The 22982-nt window shown below is 36.9% G+C and overlaps 1 protein-coding gene across 57 annotated transcripts in view; it reads left to right on the top strand.

The window, feature by feature from the left end:
* MPDZ (multiple PDZ domain crumbs cell polarity complex component) overlaps positions 1 to 22982 on the top strand; it is a 173986-nt gene that overhangs the window by 145101 nt on the left and 5903 nt on the right. For 44 of the 57 annotated variants that reach the window (NM_001375420.1, NM_001375416.1, NM_001330637.2 and 41 more), the window contains 12 exons: positions 688 to 768; positions 7820 to 7912; positions 8002 to 8076; positions 9202 to 9376; positions 11294 to 11439; positions 12422 to 12505; positions 12660 to 12853; positions 14943 to 15090; positions 19258 to 19344; positions 20571 to 20661; positions 21538 to 21581; positions 22446 to 22568. In NM_001375420.1, coding sequence (NP_001362349.1) covers positions 688 to 768; positions 7820 to 7912; positions 8002 to 8076; positions 9202 to 9376; positions 11294 to 11439; positions 12422 to 12505; positions 12660 to 12853; positions 14943 to 15090; positions 19258 to 19344; positions 20571 to 20661; positions 21538 to 21581; positions 22446 to 22568 — 1341 coding nt within the window. Of the gene's footprint in view, positions 1 to 355; positions 455 to 687; positions 769 to 7819; positions 7913 to 8001; positions 8077 to 9201; positions 9377 to 11293; positions 11440 to 12421; positions 12506 to 12659; positions 12854 to 14942; positions 15091 to 19257; positions 19345 to 20570; positions 20662 to 21537; positions 21582 to 22445; positions 22569 to 22982 lie in introns of all 57 variants that reach the window. The other 13 variants (NM_001375425.1, NM_001375419.1, XM_006716888.4 and 10 more) reach the window with 4 other exon arrangements.

The following is a 22982-nucleotide window of genomic DNA, read 5'->3' as shown; positions in this document are numbered from 1 at the left end:
AAAATTAGAGGAACTTTGGTGATTATCAGTGGGGGTACCTGTAGGAAGAGAAACATTCTTTCCTAAATGAATATATAAACATAGAGCTTATGTATACATAAGATAGATGTACAAATCATTGTCTCATTCCGGCTGCTCCTAACGTTCCACTAAGCCACGTGGTTATTTAAGATAATTAGGTTATAAGGTAATATATTTTCTTTTCATATTAGTTGTACTAAATATGTCTCTTAAGGAAATGGAGTATTTTAATAACGTTCATTAAAGTTTTCAATTCACTTGATAAATAACACAGTAAAGAATAATGAATGGTGTTTCTGCTGATGCTCTGTCACTGAGTTTCACCATTTGTTAGCTGGGCTACCATCGGTTTTCATTATACAGTAAACCCAGGCAGTCTTCAAGCCACTTGGTCTATCTGTGCTCTCAACTGATTGCTGTCCAGTTACACCTCGTAAGTATTTTGAAGAGAATGTAATGTTCATAAATTCCATAGAATGTTAAAATAGCAAAAATGTATTATAATAAATAAATGTATTAAAATAGCAATAGTGTATTAAAATAAATAAATGTAAAATAATTTTATATAATGTATAAAATAATTTTGAATAAGTGGCCTTTATATTTAAACAAATCAAATTTCCTAACACTCAGTTGCTCTTTTTGTCATTTCTTTCCCTCTGTCAGACAGAGCCAACTGTTACTACTTCTGATGCAGCTGTGGACCTCAGTTCATTTAAAAATGTGCAACATCTGGAGCTTCCCAAGGTAAATCTGCTTTGAATTGGAATGAAATGATGTGAGTTCCTTTACCTCAGTGTTCTAATTCACTGTGTTCTCAAAAGTGTGGTCTCCAGATTAACAGCATCAGCATCATCTGAGGTTTTGTTAGAACTGCAAATACTTGGGCCCACTCAAACTTATCTGCTTAATGAGAAACTCTAGGGTTGGGCCGAGAAGTTTGTGTTTTATTAGACCCGCCTGATGCACGTTTACGTTTGAAAATGACTGTGCTGATACTTTATCAGGGGTCCAGCTTGCCCTTTTATAATTATTCCAAGTTATGAAATTTAGTTATCTGTCCATTGATTCCTTCACTAAGGTCCTGCTACGGAGGAAATAAAAATAAAGAAACAGAAGTTATAGTCTTGTCCTTTAAAAATAAGAAAGCTCATATATTTAGAAGTGAACTTTCGGCTCCGATGATTGCCTTAAAAAGGCAATCTTACTATACATATAAGAGAAGTCTTTATCATGGACTATTATTGTTGTGGTTAAAAAGAAAAGAAGTTATTAAAGTCTTTTTACCTTTCTATCAAGAAGTCCATACACTTCAGTTTGAGAATCCCTCATTCTATTGCCATTTAAGAGAGATGACATCTTCCTCTTTCCCTTTCTGATTTCTGCTCTTAGTTTCTTTTCCTCCTAAATCCTGAAGTAAGAGTTTATAATATTTAATGATGCAGTCATTTCCCTATAATTTGTTAATTATGAAACATTTAAATGTATGTTGAATACTTTATAATGAATGATTTTTTTAAAAAATCTGTTTATGGTGATCTTTAGAAAAGTCCAAAATTAGATAATTTTTAAATATCCTTTCATGGTATTGATTTTAATGTATCATCTAAGGCTTAGTATATTCTAGGATATAATGACTGCCCAGGAAATGTCTGTGGAATGAACATGTTAGATGGATAAAGGGCAACATACTGTAGTGATTGGGAGCAGACTTAAAGCCAGACCACATGTGTCAGAGACCTAGATTTGCCACTCACTATCTATGAGACTGTGACTTTGAGCATGTTTCTTAACGTGTACATAGTTTCACCTTTTGAAAATGGACTTAATAATTGTCCAACTTACCTCATAGACTTGTAGTGAGAATTAAGTATATATTGTGAAAATTAAATATACATATGTTCAGTTTCCAGCACCTGGCACACATATACAAATAGTGCTTGCTATTATTATTGTTTTAATAATTAGGAATGAATAAGCTGGTATAGAGTTGCCTGATGGCTACCTGTCACTGATTTTCTCTGATGTTTTCTGTTTCCACATCTATTTCCACATTAGGCTACCTGATTAAGGTGCTTGATAGATGTTCATAGCATCTTAATCCCCTACTCAGAACCTCCCAAGGACGTTCATTTCCAAACAGATACATTCAAGTTCTTTGGCTGGGCATTTAGCAATGAGGGTGGACAGAAGCCTGTGCTGTCAGAAGCCCTTCTCACATCCTGAGTGATTGCCTATAAATCACTTAATCCCATTGGTCCTCACTTTCGTCTTCTGTAAATGGTGCTGCCTATATTAAGGGTTATTGTTGGGATTGGATGAGCTAATGAGCAAGGTTCCTTCATTCTGCAATATAAAAGCTGGTTTCTGCCTTTCGCCTCCTTTTTTATTTATTCAGCAGATGTCTATTATGTGTACTTCCCTTTCTAAATTAGATGCTATTGAGGAATGCAAGACCTTGGAGAACCTCAATGTATTGCCCGCTGAAAGCTTCCATTTATATGTAGATTTCAAACAAATCTAAAGCTCAGGTAGCTAGAATGTATTTATTGATGAAAGCCAAAGTAAGTAAGGGGAACATACAAGAATCTTTTAAAAGTAGCTAGACAGAAGAGGCAATTAACCATGATTTTAATGATTTTAAGTGTGGGCTTTGGAGTCACTTAACTTCTCTGGGCAATAGGCAAGCCATTTGTTCCATGGTGAGCAGGTATATGCAAAGCAACCTCCAAAGACTGAGGGAGCTGGGGTCCTGAAGAAAGAGGCTGACAAATCCAGTTTATCAGAAAGAAATACTTAATAGGGACTTAACGTACAGAAGCCATGCTGCTGGTGGCCACAAGACAGTGGATCCCAGCATCCACCCTCTAGAAAGTATTCTTTACATAGCAGGGATAAAGACATGTAGCTGGTCACGTCTCAGAATTTCTTGCTGAAACTTGTTATCAGTGGAGAGGTTAGGTAAACATCTTTATGAAGGATTATTTATGCTACAGGGCTCGCTACAGAACACCTTGGTATGCAGGAGTCAAACATTGGTCACCATGGCGGTTTCGCTTCAAGGTGGTGTCACTCCTGCCATACAACAGGCTGTTTTTCTACACCGTTTAACTTGTCTGGGTCTCACTTTCCTCCTGAGATGAGGAAAATCCCTTTATATTAGAGATACTATTGGAAGGATTAAATGAAAGAATTTATACAAAGTGCTTACCACAGTGTGAGTTATTATTATTATTTTTGTTAATACTTCTAACCATGAATTTGTGAGTTCCCCATAGAATATATCCTTGAACACATCTCTTGAGGAAGCCATTGTTACAAATGATGTTGAGTGACATATTACACTAAGCCTGGCACTCCTAACCCCATTATTACATGGCTCTGGGAGTAAAAATTAAGCAAAGAAGGGAGAAAGAAACAGCTTTTAACACTCATGAATCAGCTGAAATCTTTTGTCATTTTTACTATCCTATATATTTTTAAATTATAGTTATTTGACAAAGTAATTTAATGGTAATGTAACATTTGTTCATTATGTTATTTACTTCTTAGCAACCCTGTGAGCTTGCTATTATTTTCTCCACTTTGAACTGTTCCCATAACTCCAAATAGTAGAGCTGGAATTGAACTCTGGTCTTCTGCCTCCAAGTCCCATTTCCCATCCATTACCTGTTTCAACTTGCTACTGGGCCCCATCTGCCTTTCTGAAATGCCTGTATGTTCCTTCTAGGAATCCTGTACTTCAGTCAAACTGATTTGAATCAAGAGCTCATGGAGAAGGTTTTGAGAATTTATCCCTCTTTGCCTTGGTTTATATCACTTGGTCTTTCTGATTTCTTTTAACTTATATAAATCCTACATACACTAAAGATCCAACTTAAATCTCACCTCTGTTTATTTTGAAATATTACTTCAATATTCTGGCTTATATAGTGCTTACTATTAATGTCTTCATTTTATTTGTCACTTAACCATGTTTGACCCTAGAGCTTGTCTCCTGTGATGAACTTTGATGTGGGTATCTTTTCTGTACATCTAAAACATACACATGCTGAGAGAAGAAATTCTCACTTTTTTTTCCATTACTCAGTGTCATCAACATAGTTCAGACTGTAAGTATCTGCGAAGGAAGAGTGAATGAACGGTTATGTGCCGTACATGCATAAGGGGAAAAATGTTGAGATCAGGAGAGTCAGGAAGAGAATGATTTTTGCATTGTCTAAAAGTGGGAGCTCTAATAACAGCTCATTTCTAGTTCTGTTTTGACTCCTTAGAAACTCCTGAGAAGTGAATTATCTTTTTTTAATCTTTTATATTTTTTAAAAATGGGAAAATAGAATATAAGCAGAAAGCTCTCATACATAGAATCTAAACCCACAGTAGCTGACTGAAATGCAAATTCAATTGATCAGAAAACATTTTTGATTAAAGATTTATTTTTGACACAGTTTGCCCTAGGAAAGGACCCATACATCAAAGCAGGTAGTAGCCTTCTGTGATTGTCAAAGCTGTGTTTCATATCCATACAAGTTTATGTGGTGAAAGCCTTGAAATATGATGAAGAGTTTTTCTTCTTTTGAATTTTAGAGAAGTTTCTACCTTCAAAATAATTCTCCAAATAATATTAATTTGTTTAGCTGAATTCCACTTTTAATTCTTGTTTACTCTTTTCTAGCTGTTTAATTATACAACTCGTTGTTCAAAAATATATTTCCTTGGAGCCAGGTACAGTGGCACATGCCTGTAGTCCCAGCTATTTGGGAGGCTGAGGTGGGAATTCAAGACCAGCCTGGGAAACATAGCAAGACCCCATCTCTAAAAAAGGTTTAAAATAATATTTTAAAACAGAAAAAAACCCACAAAAATATATTTCCTTAATTTGTTTTCTATTCCCTGTATGGTAGTGTTTTAATAACTAGCCCCAAACAAAATATCTCAGATCTCTTCTTGCTAAGGACTATATGCACTCTGGTAAAAGTAAGTTGGAAAGTTGAGCAGTTAGATAAAAAATTGCACATTCATATGCTGTTATCCTTTCTTATGTGTCATCCTGTTTTTCTTTTCATTTATTTATTTTTATTTATTTATTTATTTATTTATTTATTTTTGAGACTGAGTCTCACTCTGTTGCCCAGGCTGGAATGCAGTGGTGTGATCTTGGCTCACTGCATCCTCCACCTCCCGGGTTCAAGCGATTCTCCTGCATCAGCCTCCCGAGTAGCTGGGATTACAGGTGTGCACCACCATGCCCGGCTAACTTTTGTACTTTAATTAGAGATGGGGTTTCGCCATGTTGGCCAGGCTGGTCTTGAACTCCTGACCTCAGGTGATCCACCTGCCTCAGCCTCCCAAAGTGCTGGGATTACAGGTCTGAGCCACCACGCCCAGCCTCATCCTGCTTTTCTGATATCAATAAATTGTTTGTTGATGTGTATATAGTTGTTTTTGTAGTATTCTAGTTGAGTTTGGGCATATTATACATGCAGATTTGTAGCTTATTGTTTCTTTTAGGACTCCTCTTATTGCAAATAACAGAAAAAAATGAACTAATTCCATCAGGTTTCATCAAGGAAGAAGATTTATGGACTCAGGTCAGCAACCTTCAAGGGTAGTTGGTCCTGTGACTGAACAGTGTCATCGAGAGCCCGTTTTTTTCCCTGTCTGTGTGACACTGTGCCATCCAGTGTCAGCTTTATCCCAAGGCTTGTCTTTCTCATGGTTTTAGAATGGCTGCCAACCATAGTTTGGCCATGTGCTACTTCTTTTACATGTATCTTGGGAGAAGGGAGAGGATGGCTGTTCAAGCCTTCTGAGCAAAAGTTCCAAGATTCATCCTAATTGAATCAATTCAGATCATGTGTCTACTTTTGAGCCAGGGACTGTGACCATGGGACTGTAATTGTAGAATTGACTTCAGTTGTTCAAACCCCATTCTTGGAGCTCCTTAACTTTTGCTATGTAACAAATTACCACCAAACTTCACAACTTAAACAGCAGGCATTTATGGTCTCACAGTTTCTATGGGTTAGGAATTTCAGAGCATTTTAGCTGGGGGTTCTGCTGAGAATCTCTTGTGCAATTGCCGACACATTGCCAGCTACAGCTACAGTCATCTCAAGATTTGACTGGGCTGGACATTGCTTCCAAGATGATTTACCCAAATGGCTGTTGGCAACAGGCCTTATTTCTTCTAAATGGGGCTGCTTGAATTTTCTTAGGACAATGGCAGCTGGCATCTTGCAGAGCAAGTTATCCAAGAGAGACAGCAAGGAGGAAGTGCCTTTGCCTTTTTTGACCTAGCTGTGAAATTATACACCATTACTTCTGCTGTATTCTCTTTGTTAGAATCAAGTCACTAAGTCTAGCCCATGCTTTTAGGTTCCTTCCTGAAGGAAGAAGTATCAAAGAATTTCTGCTCATATTTTTAATCTACAGCCTGAAACATAGTGAGGGAAGAAGGGGGAAGAGAGAATATGGAGGTGGAGGAGAGAGAGGAGTGGGTGGGAAGGCTAGATATTCTAATAAAAATCAATTTTTATAGAGGGGTAAGATGGGAAGCAGTATTAGGTAAACAATCAGCAAATACCCACTGTACCAATAAAGTATTTTCATGACTGTTATGTGACAAGTATTATTATTCCATTTTGTAGATAAGAAAATCTAGATTTCGTAGGTAAGAAAATTGAGAATTAGAGATGTTAAGTGGCATATCCAAATTTCTATAGTTAGGTAGAAGGTAAAGTCAGTTCTGCTCACTCTAAAGGTGCAGCTTACTCTGGCAGATAGACATGACTGATTGCCTGGAAAGAGAGAGGTGGTAGAGAGATGGTCAGTGACAGTTTCAAACTCATCAGGCATTAATAATCTACCTCAGAAGAGCCACATGTTGATAATCTTTAAAATGATGTTGAAACCTACCTTGATGTCACAGCCATGACCATAAACATCTCTGATGGCACATTTAACTTGTGTGTATATTTCAGAGAAACCATGTCAAGATTCTCTTTTCTTTTCTTTGCTTTTTGTAACTTTTCTCTGGAGAAAAAATTAGAAGGTGGCTAGCTCTGGCAATGAAAATGTTAAAAACTCTGTTTTAATTTTATTAAAGTAAACATTAAAGAAAGCTAAAAGCCAATATTTCTGAACATTTGGTTTTGATAAAGGGAAATGTGGAAAATGTAGCGAAGTAGGTGTAGCTCCCCAGCCTTGGCAGGTTCTCAGAGCTTGTCTTGGGACTGAGAGGCATTTTCAGTCTGCAGCAGATTGAAATGCTGTTGTCTGGAGAAACAAGTCTGAGTGTTCACCCCCCAAAAGGACAGAGTCTGCATCAGTAATGGCAGACTGCCTGCTAAAGGAAGAAGAGGGGCAGAAAAGAATGAAGGGGCTAGACCCTGTTGTTATTTCCAAGCGACAGGCCAGAGAAGAAGCGGGATTCTTTGGTTGGTTTTGAATGACTTATTCAGTCATTAGACAAAATTTGTAAATGCTGAATGTTTTGGTTGAATTATTGAATGTATTTTTGCTGTCTAGATATTTTGCTAAAGTTACTAAAGATGTCAGACATATGGGAAGAGTGAAAACACTTGAATGTTTGATGGAGGAAAATTTATTCCCATTAGGAAAATTTGAAAGTTTGTTTAAGAAAAGACAAGATTTCTAAGATCTTAGATTTAAAGTCTAAGGTCTTAGATTTCTGGACTTCAGAAGAGTTTTAGTTGTTTTTCTTACCCTTGGTATCCATTTGGATAAAATTAATCTGTTTCAAGTCTTCTGAGCATTTTTGTTTTTACTTTTCTAGGATCAGGGGGGTTTGGGTATTGCTATCAGCGAAGAAGATACACTCAGTGGAGTCATCATAAAGAGCTTAACAGAGCATGGGGTAGCAGCCACGGTGAGGTTTACCTTTCTTGCTGTCATTAAGTAGTTGGGGAGGGAATTACTTTTGGAATATCACTCAAATTCTTCTACGTTTCCATTTAGGATGGACGACTCAAAGTCGGAGATCAGATACTGGCTGTAGATGATGAAATTGTTGTTGGTTACCCTATTGAAAAGGTAATTTTCCAAAATAAAGTAAATGGTAATGTAGGCCCATCCTTGGGCATGATTAAAGTGTTTGTGTCTGCGATCATAGAGAATTAGGGTTATGTAGCTGTATTAGACATGTTCTTAAGGAAAAGAAGAGATTGTTCAGAAGTTCTTCAATTTCTATTTCTTATTTTCCAGTTGGTGTTAAGGTATTTTTCGTTGCCACACAAATTATTCAATATTCACTGGGCAGTTTTGATAAATATTTCCATTTTTTCCTTAGGAAAACTTTAAACTCCTTAACAGTGACTGTTAGTGCCAAAATATTTTTTAATGAATGTTTGCTGTTATAAATATCCATTGTGTATACTACTTTATAAACAGATTGTAAGACTCAACCATTAAATACGTAATTTTTATTAGGGTTAAACATATCTTGTACTTGAGTTCCCTCTCCTCAAAAGAGATCTTAATACTTATTTGGTATCTCATTTGAGGCCTTTTATTTATTAGTGCCAGAAAAAAGCTTTGTTTCCTTGAAATATGGTATGCTTTTTCTTTCTTATAGTGAGAGAGAACCATATAACTTATCATTTCTTCATTGTACAGTAAGAAGCTTAAAGTTACTTTTTAAAAATTCAGTTTTTAGTAAGTATTTAGGCCAGATCCTTTAACCCATAAATCTGTGTTTTAACTTTTCGTTTACCTTGACTTTTTTGTTGTATACTTTTCTTATTCTGCTTCTAACATATGTGTTTCTATTTTATTAAAACTGTTTGTGTAAGTTGCTTCTATAGAATCAGGAAGTAGGTAAAATAACCCATATATCTTCTAAGGTTGTAGGCATTCAGAAAAACGGATGAGATTAGAGATGTAAAAAGTTGAAAGTCTTATATAAGAAAAAAATGTGGTCAGAGCTAGACTTAGAGTAGAAATTAACCATGGCCCTAATCTACATCAAGCATTTGGAAAAGCTAGAGAGAAACTAGAGCCATTTCTTTCTTTACCCAAGTCCTGACAAAGAAATAATTTGCATCTGTCCCTCCCCTTAACCATAGAGAGAATTAGATTCCATTGATAATGGTGACTCATTGGTATGTCTACTAATTCAGCTTTGAATTTTGTTTCTCTTCCACACATACACCCTGCCAGTTTATTAGCCTTCTGAAGACAGCAAAGATGACAGTAAAACTTACCATCCATGCTGAGAATCCAGATTCCCAGGCTGTTCCTTCAGCAGCTGGTGCAGCCAGTGGAGAAAAAAAGAACAGCTCCCAGTCTCTGATGGTCCCACAGTCTGGCTCCCCAGAACCGGAGTCCATCCGAAGTAAGGCCTCTGGACTCATGAGAGTCCTGCACATATGGAACACCTGAACTCAGCAGAGGGTTTCTGCTTGGGAGCCAGCTGCCTACCTGTGGCTCACTGTTTGGAAGGTTGTAGTCAGGGAGCCCTATGGTGAGGGCAGGATATAAAGAGAGGACTTCTGGAAAAAGAGTACTGGACTGTTAGGCAGGCAATCTATGTGCTGTACATTAAGCAGCTGTGGCATCTTAGGAAACCTACCCACTCAAAGCCTCAGCTTCTTCATCTCTAAAACAAGGGAATAGTATTCTTTGCTCTCCAAAAATATATTGCTAAGGGCACCTTGATTCCAGGCCTCTAACTAATGAATTAGAAATATCATTTCGTAGATTCTTTTTTTAAGCTGGGAAAGTAATTTAACTTCTCTAAGCCTCAGCTTTCTTTTCTGTAGAATGGATATGCAATTATCCTATTTCATAGGTGGGATCAGTACTGCCTGCCACTGTAAGAAACTCTTTAGTCATTGCCATGATCTACAGATCTGAGTTCTATGCTTTAGGTGTAATAGTGGGTCCTGTCATAATGGAAATGGATTTAGGTTACGTGAACCATAGGGTGACACTTTAATGTGTCATTACACTTCCAGTCTAGTATATGGAGGTACATTATTCCTTTGAGTTACTTTTTGAGAAAGAATACACTGGTGTGTAATAAAACAGTTTCAAGCTCTGCAGCATCAAAACAAACAAAAAAAAATAAGGCATTGGCTTTTTCTGTAACGGGGGGTGGAGGGGAGAAATTTCTTTTGGCCTCCAAACTGTTCTTTTAACAGTTTTTTAAGGAAACACTAGTTTAAATCATTTGTAATGTAGTTGGATGAAAAAGTCTTAAAGTAATACATCTCCGAAAATAATCCTTTATTTAGAAAGACTGGATAATTCACTGAAGTGTTAAAAGATTTTATGGAAATTTTCTCATTTTTCAATTTTATGTTGATCCCTAAATAGTGTTGTCTATAAAAATATGAAATGCTAGATGAAAACTTAACATAAAAGAAAATATCTTACACCTGTTCTTACCATTTAAGGAGCAAGAAAATAGTCTGTTTCTGATTTCCTAAAAAGAGAACATCTTGTCTAAAGCATACGCTACTATACCAAGTGTCCTAGCTTTCCCAAAACATGCTATTTGCTGTATGCTCTTTGTTGTATCGTAAAACATATGATATGAAGACTCTGATAAAATAATGTGTGAAATTATATTCCCCTTTTCTCATAATCTATTCTTATCTATTCATTTCTGAACATATATGCACCAGGATTTGACATCTGAATGTATAAAACATCAAGTGAGACCCAAGGAGAAAACTGCAAATGGTGCATTTTTGCTCAGAATTGATTACATAAGAAGAGATGCTCTAGGATAAGAAGAAAACAAAAATGTAAAAAGCCCCGAAAAGCAGGCATCAGAACCAAAATTATTGATATGTTTTGTGGTATTCCCTGAATGTACTTCTAGGTCTTTGCCACATATCTCAGTTATGAGTTCTATAAATCTTTTAATTCATAAGAAATGTGTTTGCCTCCATTGAAATGGAGAATATCAAAGTGAAACTTGAGGTTCAATTTAATTCTGTTCTCTCTTCTTCATATCCTCTCCTTTATATCTCTACCAATTTAAAACATGTAGGATAGCATAGAAAATAATTAAATAGGTAATTTTTGGCCCACTACCCTAAATTAACAATGGTGATTTAATCACATTTGTTTTATTTTTAAATATAAGATAATTAAAAGATTGAGGTAAATACAAAGTCTCTTTTCCCACAGTCATGGGCCCATTTCTCTGCCCCATCCCTCAGAGTCAATCTGTGTGATGAGTTTGATGGATATGCCTTAGTAACCAATTTTTATTTGTATTTCATTTTTAACTTATTTTTAGATACAAGCAGATCATCAACACCAGCAATTTTTGCTTCTGATCCTGCAACCTGCCCCATTATCCCTGGCTGCGAAACAACCATCGAGATTTCCAAAGGGCGAACAGGGCTGGGCCTGAGCATCGTTGGGGGTTCAGACACGCTGCTGGTGAGCACCACCCAGAGGTGCTTCTGTACAGGCCGTCCTTCAGCCAGGCCTCAGAGACGATTATGGGGAGATTTCTATCAGTTCTAGTAAAGGAAATGTGAAGGCCGAAAAAACCTGTATTTGTTATTTTAATTTATAGGGCAAATATTCAATTGGATACGGGGGAGGTTTCCTTTGAGTAAGCCAATAAATATTGACTCAGCAATATTCTGCTACACTGGTGATTTTGATCTTGAAATTTCAAAGTGTTTCTATCAGTTCACCAGTCCTTGCTACATTTTAATTTCCTTTTTGCTGATATCCAGGTTGGGTTAAACCCATTTTAAGAGGAGTTTGAGCCAGGTGCAGTGGCTCATGCCTGTAATCCCAGCACTTTAGGAGGCTGAGGCAGGTGGATCACTTGAGGCCAGGAGTTTGAGATCAGCCTGTTCAACATGGCAAAACCCTATCTCTACTAAAAATACAAAAACTAGCTAGGCATGGTAGCGTCTGTAATCCCAGCTACTTGGGAGGTTGAGGCAGGAGAATCTCTTGAACGTGGGAGGCAGAGGTTGCAGTGAGCTGAGATCGCACCACTGCACTCCAGCCTGGGTGACAGAGTGAGACTACGTCTCAAAAAAAAAAAAAAAGAGTTTGAAAAATTGATACTTTGTAGACAAAGTCTTCTAGATGTCAAAAATACCTTAAAAGTGATTTCATTTATGGATAAGAAAGTTATCTCTCATCTATGTATGCATGTTTTATTTTATAGTTTTTTTCTTTAATCTTCTCTATCATTAGGAAAAAAGTATAAGCTCCTTTGAGCCTTTTAGCAAAAATTGTTGTTACACTTTCCCTTGAATTATATGGAGCTTGTACTGTAGAGCCAGAGTTTATAACCCTTATTGCTGTCTATCAAAGTATAATGTGTTTGGACTCCATTTCTGCTCACCATTCCTAGGAGAATGGGATAAGTATGGGTATGTTTTGTTTGGGCCCTTAGGGTGCCATTATTATCCATGAAGTTTATGAAGAAGGAGCAGCATGTAAAGATGGAAGACTCTGGGCTGGAGATCAGATCTTAGAGGTATAGAATGCCTGTTTTTGACCTTCAAAATTAACAGAGAAAAGGCTCCTGGGGGGAGTGTTTCTTTCTTTGCTTCTTTCTCTCTCTTCCCTTCCCCACCTAACTCTCCTTTACTTCTCATGTTCCTTACAGTCAGTGTCCCATTTCTGTACAGGTGAATGGAATTGACTTGAGAAAGGCCACACATGATGAAGCAATCAATGTCCTGAGACAGACGCCACAGAGAGTGCGCCTGACACTCTACAGAGATGAGGCCCCATACAAAGAGGAGGAAGTGTGTGACACCCTCACTATTGAGCTGCAGAAGAAGCCGGGAAAAGGCCTAGGATTAAGTATTGTTGGTAAAAGGTGTGATTGAGGAGGACAAACCCAATGCTCCCTTGGAAATGATGGGACTTAAATCATTTTAAAGAGTAATAGCAGTAGGTGAATCTTTTATCAGTGGCTAGTGTTCAGTAGGTAGCTGTTGTTAGCCCCCTCACTAAGGAACCATAAAAAGACATTGGTTTTGGACTTTTAAAATCAGAATATTGGAAGGTTTTGAAGGCACTTAACAAAAAGTCATTTGGTGTATTTTTGAGCACCTGCTATGTGCTAGGAAATACGTTAAGTTTTCAGAAACAAAGTTAAATAAGACATGGTTCCTGAACTCCAAAAACTCATCGTCTGGTGAACGTCGAATTAAATATATTCTTGCAACAAAGGAATCTATTGATGAGTGACAAAGATGCTTTGTGGGGGACCCATGGTAGCAAAGGAGAAAGGGACCAAGTGACCCTATTTAATTAAAGTGAATTAGGGAAAATTTCCAAGAAAAAAGGTGTCTGAGCTGAGGCTAAAAGTGATAAGTGAGTATTGGTTTATTAAAGGAGAGTGGAAGATATTGTAGGGAGAAGGATCAGAGCGAATAAGAGCGTGCCATCAACAGGGCCTAAAGCAGGGGGCCCGGGTGGTAATGGAATAGTGAATGCGCAAAAATTCACAACCTAATTCATTTGTATATGAGTACATTTTAAAAGTATTTACATGTAAGTAATATTAACAAACTCATTTATAAGTGATATTAACAAATAATCCAGCAAGTTTCATAAATCTTTCTTCCTTTTAGTATTATAAGCCCATCTGGATCTGATCTCAGAATCTACCAGATAGCTAAACTTGTGAAGTCAGCATTCAGTAAAAAGTGCCCCTGCAGTCTGCAGTGTCTCTAAGTTTATTTTGTCATTTCTTGGGCCTCAGATAGCCACCATTTCAAAGCAGCTTATTTTTTCCAGTGAGTCAGAAATCTGTGAAATGGTGATCTTTATTTCAGAATATCCTTCTTTGGAAATAGGCATTCTTCAGAATTGCCAAACCAGCAGCATAGACACCTGGTTCTGCAGCGACTTTTCTGTATGGAAATAAAAGGACATTTACACCATTTTGTTTCTCAGAGACAGCTAAAGGCTAATTATTTTTAAACACAGAAAGAATTTAGCATATTATTTGAGTGTCAGTGGGAATATGTCTAAAAAATAGACTTTTTTTGGAATACAGTATCAGTAGTCTAGTTCTCATGAAATATGACATGGGTAACATGGCTACTATAGGATGTGGGGTCACCAGGTCATCATAAAAACCACCATTAATGAACCCTAAACTCTGTGCCTTGGGAAGACCATACAAAGACCGTCTAATCCAATACCCTGTTTCTAAAGATGGGAAAGCGGAGGATCAAATGGTGAAATGATTTGATGTCATGACCTTGGCAAGAACAAGTGATACAGTTCAGCTTTTACTATATATTTCTATTTATGGTTATCTTCGTATCTTTAGAAGTTTTGGGTTTTTTTTTTATAGTTTTGTGAAAGAAAGGATGGGAATAAGATTTGTGTTTATTTTGCATAAACCTATCTCGTGTGGAAGATGTGTAATGATTTCAAATAAAAGACATCACAGCAATGGTACTTAGATTTTGAGTTAATAAATGGTGTTTAGTTTGAGATACACATCTGTTATGATTTTCAGTAATATTAATGATGGTGATAGCAACATTTATGTAACCACAAGTTAATATTATTCAAAGCTCCATTCTGATTTGGAAAGAACAGCAGATTTTGCATCCAAGGACTGACTCTTAAGTCTTACTTTTGCCACTTAGTAGCCGAGTGACCCATAAAATGAGAATGGTAATACACGCTTCTACTCAGTGTATATAAATGATGAAGAATAAATATGCTTATTGGAGATCATTTTAATCTATGAAGCACTGTAAGACATAAGCTGTTATTTATCAAAAAATATAATTCTAATGTTGCCCCAGTGTTGCTCCAAATAACAAAACTTTTAAAGTCATAAAAACAAGTAAAAATTTTGGGTAAAAACGTAACTTTTTATTAAATAAGCATTGCATTACAGTTGAGCAAAAGATAATGTTGAAATTCAAAATTGTGTGTAGAAACGATACTGGAGTATTTGTGTCAGACATTGTCAAAGGAGGAATTGCAGATGCCGATGGAAGACTGATGCAGGGAGACCAGATATTAATGGTGAATGGGGAAGACGTTCGTAATGCCACCCAAGAAGCGGTTGCCGCTTTGCTAAAGGTAAAAAATGCAAAAAATAATTCTGTGTAATAGCGTAGAAGAAAAAAGATAATTTTAACATTGGGCTATCATAGTCAAATTAGTAATGACTTCTCTTTATTTAAAGTGTCACCTCAAGGCCAGGTGCAATGGCTCACGCCTATAATCCCAGCATTTTGGGAGGCCATGGCAGGTGGATCACTTGAGACTAGGGGTTCGAGACCAGCCTTGGCAACATGGCAAAATCCCATCTCTACAAAAAAATATAAAAATTAGTTGGGCATGGTTGTGCGTGCCTATAGTCCCAGCTACTCAGAAGGCTGAGGTGGGAGGATCGCATGAGTCTGGGGTCACACCACTGAATTCCAGCTTAGGTGACAGAAACCCTGTCTCAAAAAAATAAATAAAAAGTCATCTCAAATCTTTTAAAATGAAAAGATTTTATCATTTATGTTCCATAGAAGGGAAAGTTTGATCAAAATACTATTCTGACTCAAAACTGTTGAACTATTTGAAGTTGACATTTAAAATCAGAAGCAGATCTGTCATCCTTATGCAACGAAGGTAATTTAATGCAGATTCACTCAGCAGTACCTTCACTGGGGATTATCGTAATTATAAGGCCTCCATCCCTAGATATCATTCTAAACTCAAGTACATTTTACATCATAAAATTGGTTTCCTCCAAAGCAAACTCACCATGAAGGATCATTTTCTGATTGGAAAGGCAGAACCAGTTTCATTTTAAAAATGAATTAATTGTAAAGCACAGAAAAGTCATTTGACAATATAATTCCTGGGACTCTAGGCATATTCTCTGTCAGGGAATATTCCAGTTTCTAGAGGGGATTTGCATTCCTGTAAATAGGCAATGCTTATCTCCTTGTTTTGTTTTTTTAACCTAGTGTGTTTTATGACCTGAAGAAATATAATTCAACATTGACTAGAAAACTGTCATCATCAGTACCCATGTCAAGGGTAGCAATTAACATAAGCCTGCATGACAGTGCTCAGCAGCAGTAGAGCTGTTGGAGGTCTAATACGCTAAGGGGAGCCTCTGAGTGGCTGGGCTTCCTGGAGGGATTTTCAAGTAGGTGCTTGTTACTCACCTCTCAGGTTTATATAAGATCTGGCATATGAATGTGTTTATAAATTTGGTTATTAAAGCAAAGTTAACATTCGTCACTTCTCATTAGGTTTCTCAATCTTTAAAACATAATGTAATTAGAATTCTTTAAGGAGGAATACATTCTTTTTGGAGACACATTAAAAACAATTGTTATCTCTGTAAGAATTATATATCCTAAAGAAAGAAAAAATGGAAGCATCCATAAAACAATGTAAATAATTTTTAAACCAGTCATTTAAAAATCTAGTCTCACCAGGTGTGGTGGCTCATGCCTGTAATCCCAACACTTTGGGAGGCTGAGGCGGGTGGATCACCTGACGTCGGGAGTTCGAGACCAGCTTGACCAACCTGGAGAAACCCCGTCTCTACTAAAAATACAAAATTAGCCAGGTGTGGTAGCGCATGCCTGTAATCCCAGCTACTCAGGAGGCTGAGGCAGGAGAATCGCCTGAACCCGGGAGGCAGAGGTTGCAGTAAGCCGAGATCGCATCATTGCAGTCCAACCTGGGCAATAAGAGTGAAACTCCATCTCAAAAAAAAAAAAAAAAAAGCTAATCTGAAAGTATATAATGAACACCATAAATATTTGTATAACTTACATGTTTGTTGTTGGGGCTGCTTATTTTTGTTTTATTAGTAATTGTTCATTTAAAACTCTTATGTAAATAATCCTCTATACACAACTTCATGCACGTAAAGTTCCTCATGCACATAGAGTTCATTGAAGTGTTATTTGTAATAGTGGGAAAATTGGAAGCAATGTGGTTGACAAAAACTATATAAACTTTGGTATAAATAGCAAGGATGCATGGCAAACATGTATTTGTTTGAAAGGATGTTCATGACACCTTTTTTTTTTTTTTGAGACGGAGTCCCGCTCTGTTGCCCAGGCTGGAGTGCAGTGGTGTGATCTCGGCTCACTGCAAGCTCCGCCTCCCGGGTTCACGCCATTCTCCTGCCTCAGCCTCCTGAGTAGCTGGGACTACAGGCGCCTGCCACCACGCCCAGCTAATTTTTTGTATTTTTGGTAGAGGCAGGGTTTCACTGTGTTACCCAGGATGGTCTCAATCTCCTGACTTCGTGATCCACCCATCTCGGCCTCCCAAAGTGTCATGACAACTATTTTAACATGATAAAATATATACAGTAGTCGCTCCTAATCTGCAGTTTCTCTTCCTGTGGTTTCAGTTGCCCAGAGTATAGTAAAATAAGGTATTTTTAGAAGGAGAGAGAGATCACATTCATATAACTTTTATTACAGCACATTGTTATAATTGTTCTATTTTATTATCCTCTTATGTCTAATTTATAAATTAAACCTTATTTTATGTTTATAAATTAAACCTTATATATAGGAAAAAACATAGTATATATAGAGTTCAGCACTATCCATAGTGTCAGGCATCCACTGGCGGGGGGTCTTAGAACATATTCCCCCCTATAATAAAGGGGGACTACTGTAATTAGTGGGGAATATAAGACAGAGGATTGTATTTACCGCATAGATGCAACTATGTAAAATACAATCTTATAAGTTTTTTAAACAATAATTATGAGGTAATTGTTGGACTTATGGGTCCTTTTCTTCCCCCATCTTTTTTCATTTTATTTCCAAAATTTTCTTTTTACTGGGCGTAAATCACTTTTGTATTGGAAAAATTAACACTTTTTTAAATAATCAAAACCCTTGATATTTGAAAGAGAAGTGTTACAGGTAGGTGAAAGGGTCGCAACATTACACAGTGAATAACGTATGGACTTGTTAACCTTACAGTTATGTAAACTGAAAATATAAATAGTTTCAAGAAGAGTTTGGTAAGAAACCCCAAACCAAACAAATAAAAAAACCAACTTATGGATATTACAAGTCAAGTTTTGACCTTTCAGAGTATGATTCATGATCAACATCTTCAGAATAACACATCCCTTTGTACTCTCATCACTGAATAATAATATCAGTGCCCAATATTTATATTAATCTTACTCCATTCTAGACACTGTCATAAGCATTGTTCATGGTTTATTTATCTCAACAACCTATAATGATGTACATTTTTAAAATTCAGAGTAAAAGATTTATTAAGGTTAAACATCCATTACAGTCACACAGCTAATAAATCACATAGTCTGGATTTAATCCAGTGACTCCAAAACAGGATCTCAAACACCTTCTTGTGCTACTTCATATTAGACTGTGCGGCATTTCTTGCATGCCTATGGTTTATTTGTAAAGGGGTGCAAGAAAGATTGTCTTCAGTTCATGTTTTGTGTTGATAGCAGTATTTATCTAAATTTTATATCATAAGTCTATTCAGGCACAGTGTAGTGATAGAGAATTTACCCAATTATCTAAGTACCTCTTCCACTGAGGGCAAAACAAGTTGCTGAGGTGGTGGTAGTGGTGGTTTTATTGTGTTCGCTTTTTTTTTTTTTTTTTTTTTTTGAGGTGGAGTCTCAAGTCTCGCTCTGTCACCCAGGTGGAGTGCAGTGGCATGATCTTGGCTCACTGCAAGCTCCGCCTCCCAGGTTCACGCCATTCTTCTGCCTCAGCCTCCTGAGTAGCTGGGACTACAGGCGCCTGCCACCACGCCCAGCTATTTTTTTGTATTTTTAGTAGAGACAGGGTTTCACCATGTTAGCCAGGATGGTCTTGATCTCCTGACCTCGTGATCCACCCGCCTCGGCCTCCCAAAGTGGTGGGATTACAGTCGCTTTGTTTTTTAAACCCTCAGTTATTCAGCTTGTTTGTCCTATCAAAATTAGTGTGTTTCATGAGATAATTGCTCAATTCTCCATTTCTTTTTGGTACAAGTAGTCTCCATAGAAATCATGAGGTGATAAGGTAAACACTTGGTGTTGCTGCTGCTGATTATTTTTATTAGTTTGAATGTTTTATAAAAAGCCATTTTCCACAAGGGATTGGAGGTATCCTTGCTTATAGAAATTCCAAAAGGAAGATGCCTTTCAAAAAAGTCTTGAAGAGTAAAATGTATTCCTAAAGATGATTATAGCATTTTATTTAAACATTTCCATAAAACACCCCCCATGCCCACCCCCAGTGTTCCCTAGGCACAGTAACCTTGGAAGTTGGAAGAATCAAAGCTGGTCCATTCCATTCAGAGAGGAGGCCATCTCAAAGCAGCCAGGTGGGTAGCTGTGGAGTTCATCAGGGCGATGCAATCGGCATGCCAAGAGGACACATAGATGGCCCTGACTGTGGGTCTGTGTACAAGGTCTGGTCCCCTGGCAGCGTGGGATAGTGACTGAGGTGCAGAGTTTGAGACAGAGAAGAACAAGGAATCAGAATAGCCAGGTAAACAAGGTGTGGCTGTTGAGTAGTTTGTAAGTCATTCTAAGGAAATTGATTTCAAGCATTCTTTTTTGACATGATTCATTTTCCATAATCTCAAAAGGTAACTACCTAATTGTAAAGCCTACCAAGATAACAAATTTTTTATTATTTTATTTATTTTATTTATTTATTTATTTATTTTGAGACAGAGTCTCGCTCTGTCACCCAGGCTGGAGTGCAGTGGCACAATCTCAGCTCACTGCAACCTTCGCCTCCCGGGCGAAGTAGATTCTTCTGTCTCTACTTCCCGAGTAGCTGGGACTACAGGCGTGCACCACCATGCCTGGCTAATTTTTGTATTTTTATTAGAGATGGGGTTTCGCCATGTCAGCCAGGCTGGTCTCAAACGCCTGACCTCGTGATCCACCCGCCTCAGCCTCCCAAAGTGTTGGGATTACAGGCATGAGCCACCGTACCTGGCCCCAAGATAACATATTTTAAAAATATTTTATAGCAACATCAATCAATATTCAACTGAAAAGTCCCATATAAGTGAACTATAGATACTCAGCACCATGTATAAAAATATGATGTTAAATATTTCAAGACTCTTGACAAGACCTCTTGACCTTCTCCTCAGTGTTGTCTACTGATGATGGAAACCCATTTTCATCAGTCTGTCCTTAAAGACCCCATACTAACTTTCTAAATTACTACCATGAGTTTCCTATTAGCTGGCCCTAATTCTACAGTTTTTGTTTAAGTCCTAGTCTTCCTACAACATCAGTTTAAATTTAAAGAAGATTAGTTTGAATGAGATTATGACTATCCACTAAAATTTTAGGTAGATTGGAATCAATTTCATCTACCCTTTTAGCTTCAATTTATTTATGTCACTAGACACATTCTCTGTTTAAAAGAAAAAAAATCAGTAGGAACTGTGTTTAAATTGCTCATCAAATTATCAAATGCCACTGTTGCTTAACAGGTATCTGTCTCTAGATTAAATTCTGAAATAAGTGGTATTTAGGGAGTATGTTACTTGCAAAACCTTCTGAAATAATTGTTGTATATTTGTAGGTGAGTGAAGGCAGCCTGTCATCTTTCACTTTTCCACTCTCTGGATCCAGTACATCTGAGTCACTGGAAAGTAGCTCAAAGAAGAATGCATGTAAGATTGGTTCAGTATTTTAAACATGGTTTGAATTTGGCTGTCAACACTGATTTTTTTGTCTTGTTTACCTCTGAGCTTTCTTTTCCCCCAAATCATCCCATATCCAAATATAGGTACAAAAACACGTGTTAGCAAAAAGTCTGAACAACATGAAGTTCTGCCTATGGCAGCTTTTCCCATTTGATGTTTACCCTACAAGATACACTAAACATTATAATCAGGATTCTGTAATTTTTTTTTCTTACTAAGCAGATTGGTGTTTTTGATTTTATTCCTTTTCTGTGTTTAATGTAACACCAGTAAATCAGAAGATGCCATTAAGTGAAGCCTTCTTTTTCCATGAAGATTGCAAAAATTTGAGAAAATTAATGTGATCCTCCTGTGTTTTAATTACGTGAAATCATGCTGCAGAGGGATTTTTGGCTTGGTGCATTGGTTGAGAGTTGTTCAAATTGAAGAAACTAACAATATGGCAATCTCTGTTTGCAGTATGACTAATATTCTAGAAATTTAGGCACTTAAATTTGTGAATTTTTTTAATGCATCCATGACTTTATTCCTCTCAGCCGTGCACATGTGCCTTTCTATGCAAAACACATTCTGCCCTTGACTCATTCAAAGTGGATTACATAGTTATATAATCAACACTTAAAATGAGAAGGAAGAATGGGATGGTATACACGTTTTTCCAACTGGAAAAATAAATAGTTCTGTGTAAGACAGATCTAATCATGTGTACTAGCAGCTTTGAGCACCCCCTTAAAAAAAGAAACCTAGGTTATCATTTAGTCCCATCCAGCTTTAGATATTTTAACGAACATAAAAAGTGAATGAACATAAAATAACCCTATTTTATCTTTTTTGCCTTTACAGTGGCATCTGAAATACAGGGATTAAGAACAGTCGAAATGAAAAAGGTAACTTGGGGAGAGAAAACAATATAAACCCTGGCGTTTTAAGAGACATCTTCATATGTGTTTTCTTGTTAACTTTCTTACGGTTTTAAAGTATTCATCTCAAAAAGTATGTATTCTTACATATTACATGTGAAATAACATAATGTAGTCCTTAATGAATTTCCTGATCACAGCACCTCATTTGAAAAATCGTTGTTTGCATGCTCTGTTTTGCTGAAAATAGCATAAAATTGACCCCACACAAAATAATACCATGCCTCTCACTTCTTATAAGTAAACCTTTCTCTTCAACAGATACTTATTAGTTCTGAAACAGATTCCCTTGACAGCCATGCACAAGAGACAAAGTAAAAGCAGCTGTGATTTATTGAGCTTTTACTATTGTTCTGAGCACTCTTATAGACACTTCATGTCATCATCATGTCATTTAATATTCACTGCAGCCCTCTGTGAGAGGCACTGTTGTCTCCATTTTGTAAATGAAGATCTAATGATTTATTGAGTGGAGTGGACTTATTCCAAGTTCCAGCATTTGCAAGTATGACTTCGTGGCTTTGAACACAGGACTCTGATTCCAAAAGTGTGGTCTTTTCACTTCATGAGTTTACCTGCTTTTCATCAGTTCCACAACATGATTTTCATTTAGCATGTCTTGATTTATTTTACTTCCTGAACAGATGCTTATTTTCCTAAGCCACGCTAAGCACCTGTGTCAAGTAAAGTAATGCAGTTTTCTTGCACTTCTTCATTTTCCCCCTCACACTTAGAAAATCAGAGTTGACTATAGATATCATGCCAAAGAATAAACAAAAGGTCAATGAAAAATATCACTTTGACCAAAATTTTATATCTGTTCCATGGCAGGGCCCTACTGACTCACTGGGAATCAGCATCGCTGGAGGAGTAGGCAGCCCACTTGGTGATGTGCCTATATTTATTGCAATGATGCACCCAACTGGAGTTGCAGCACAGACCCAAAAACTCAGAGTGAGTCGTACTATCAACCCTAGAAGCCCTAGCAAAATGTGCAGAAGTGTTTTTATAAACCTTTGAACCTGGCTACCTGTTGCAAGGCAGTTTTAAATATCTATATTTACTTTTAAATCATCTAATCCAACCACAGCAAGGCTTGCTTGGAATAAAAGATAAAGAATATTAAAAGAAAGGAGAAAATGCAGATTTGCAGTTAAATAGGAAGATTTATAGTTGTTTCCTAATACATATTTTTATATGTTGAAATTCTGTGGAACAAGCTAAAAGAGAACAGAAAGTATTTTCAGAACACCAGTATGAAGTGAAATTTTTATCTTATATATTTGATTGGTTTAAACGCCGATTTAACTCTGTTAAATTGAAAAGTATTACTTATTTGCATTCACTGATAATTTTGCAGAAGTTTAA

This window comes from Homo sapiens, chromosome 9 (assembly GCF_000001405.40).
Source record: "Homo sapiens chromosome 9, GRCh38.p14 Primary Assembly".
NCBI lineage: Eukaryota > Metazoa > Chordata > Mammalia > Primates > Hominidae > Homo > Homo sapiens.
The sequence above is the reverse complement of the archived record's forward strand: the minus strand, read 5'-3'. Positions and strand labels throughout refer to the sequence as shown.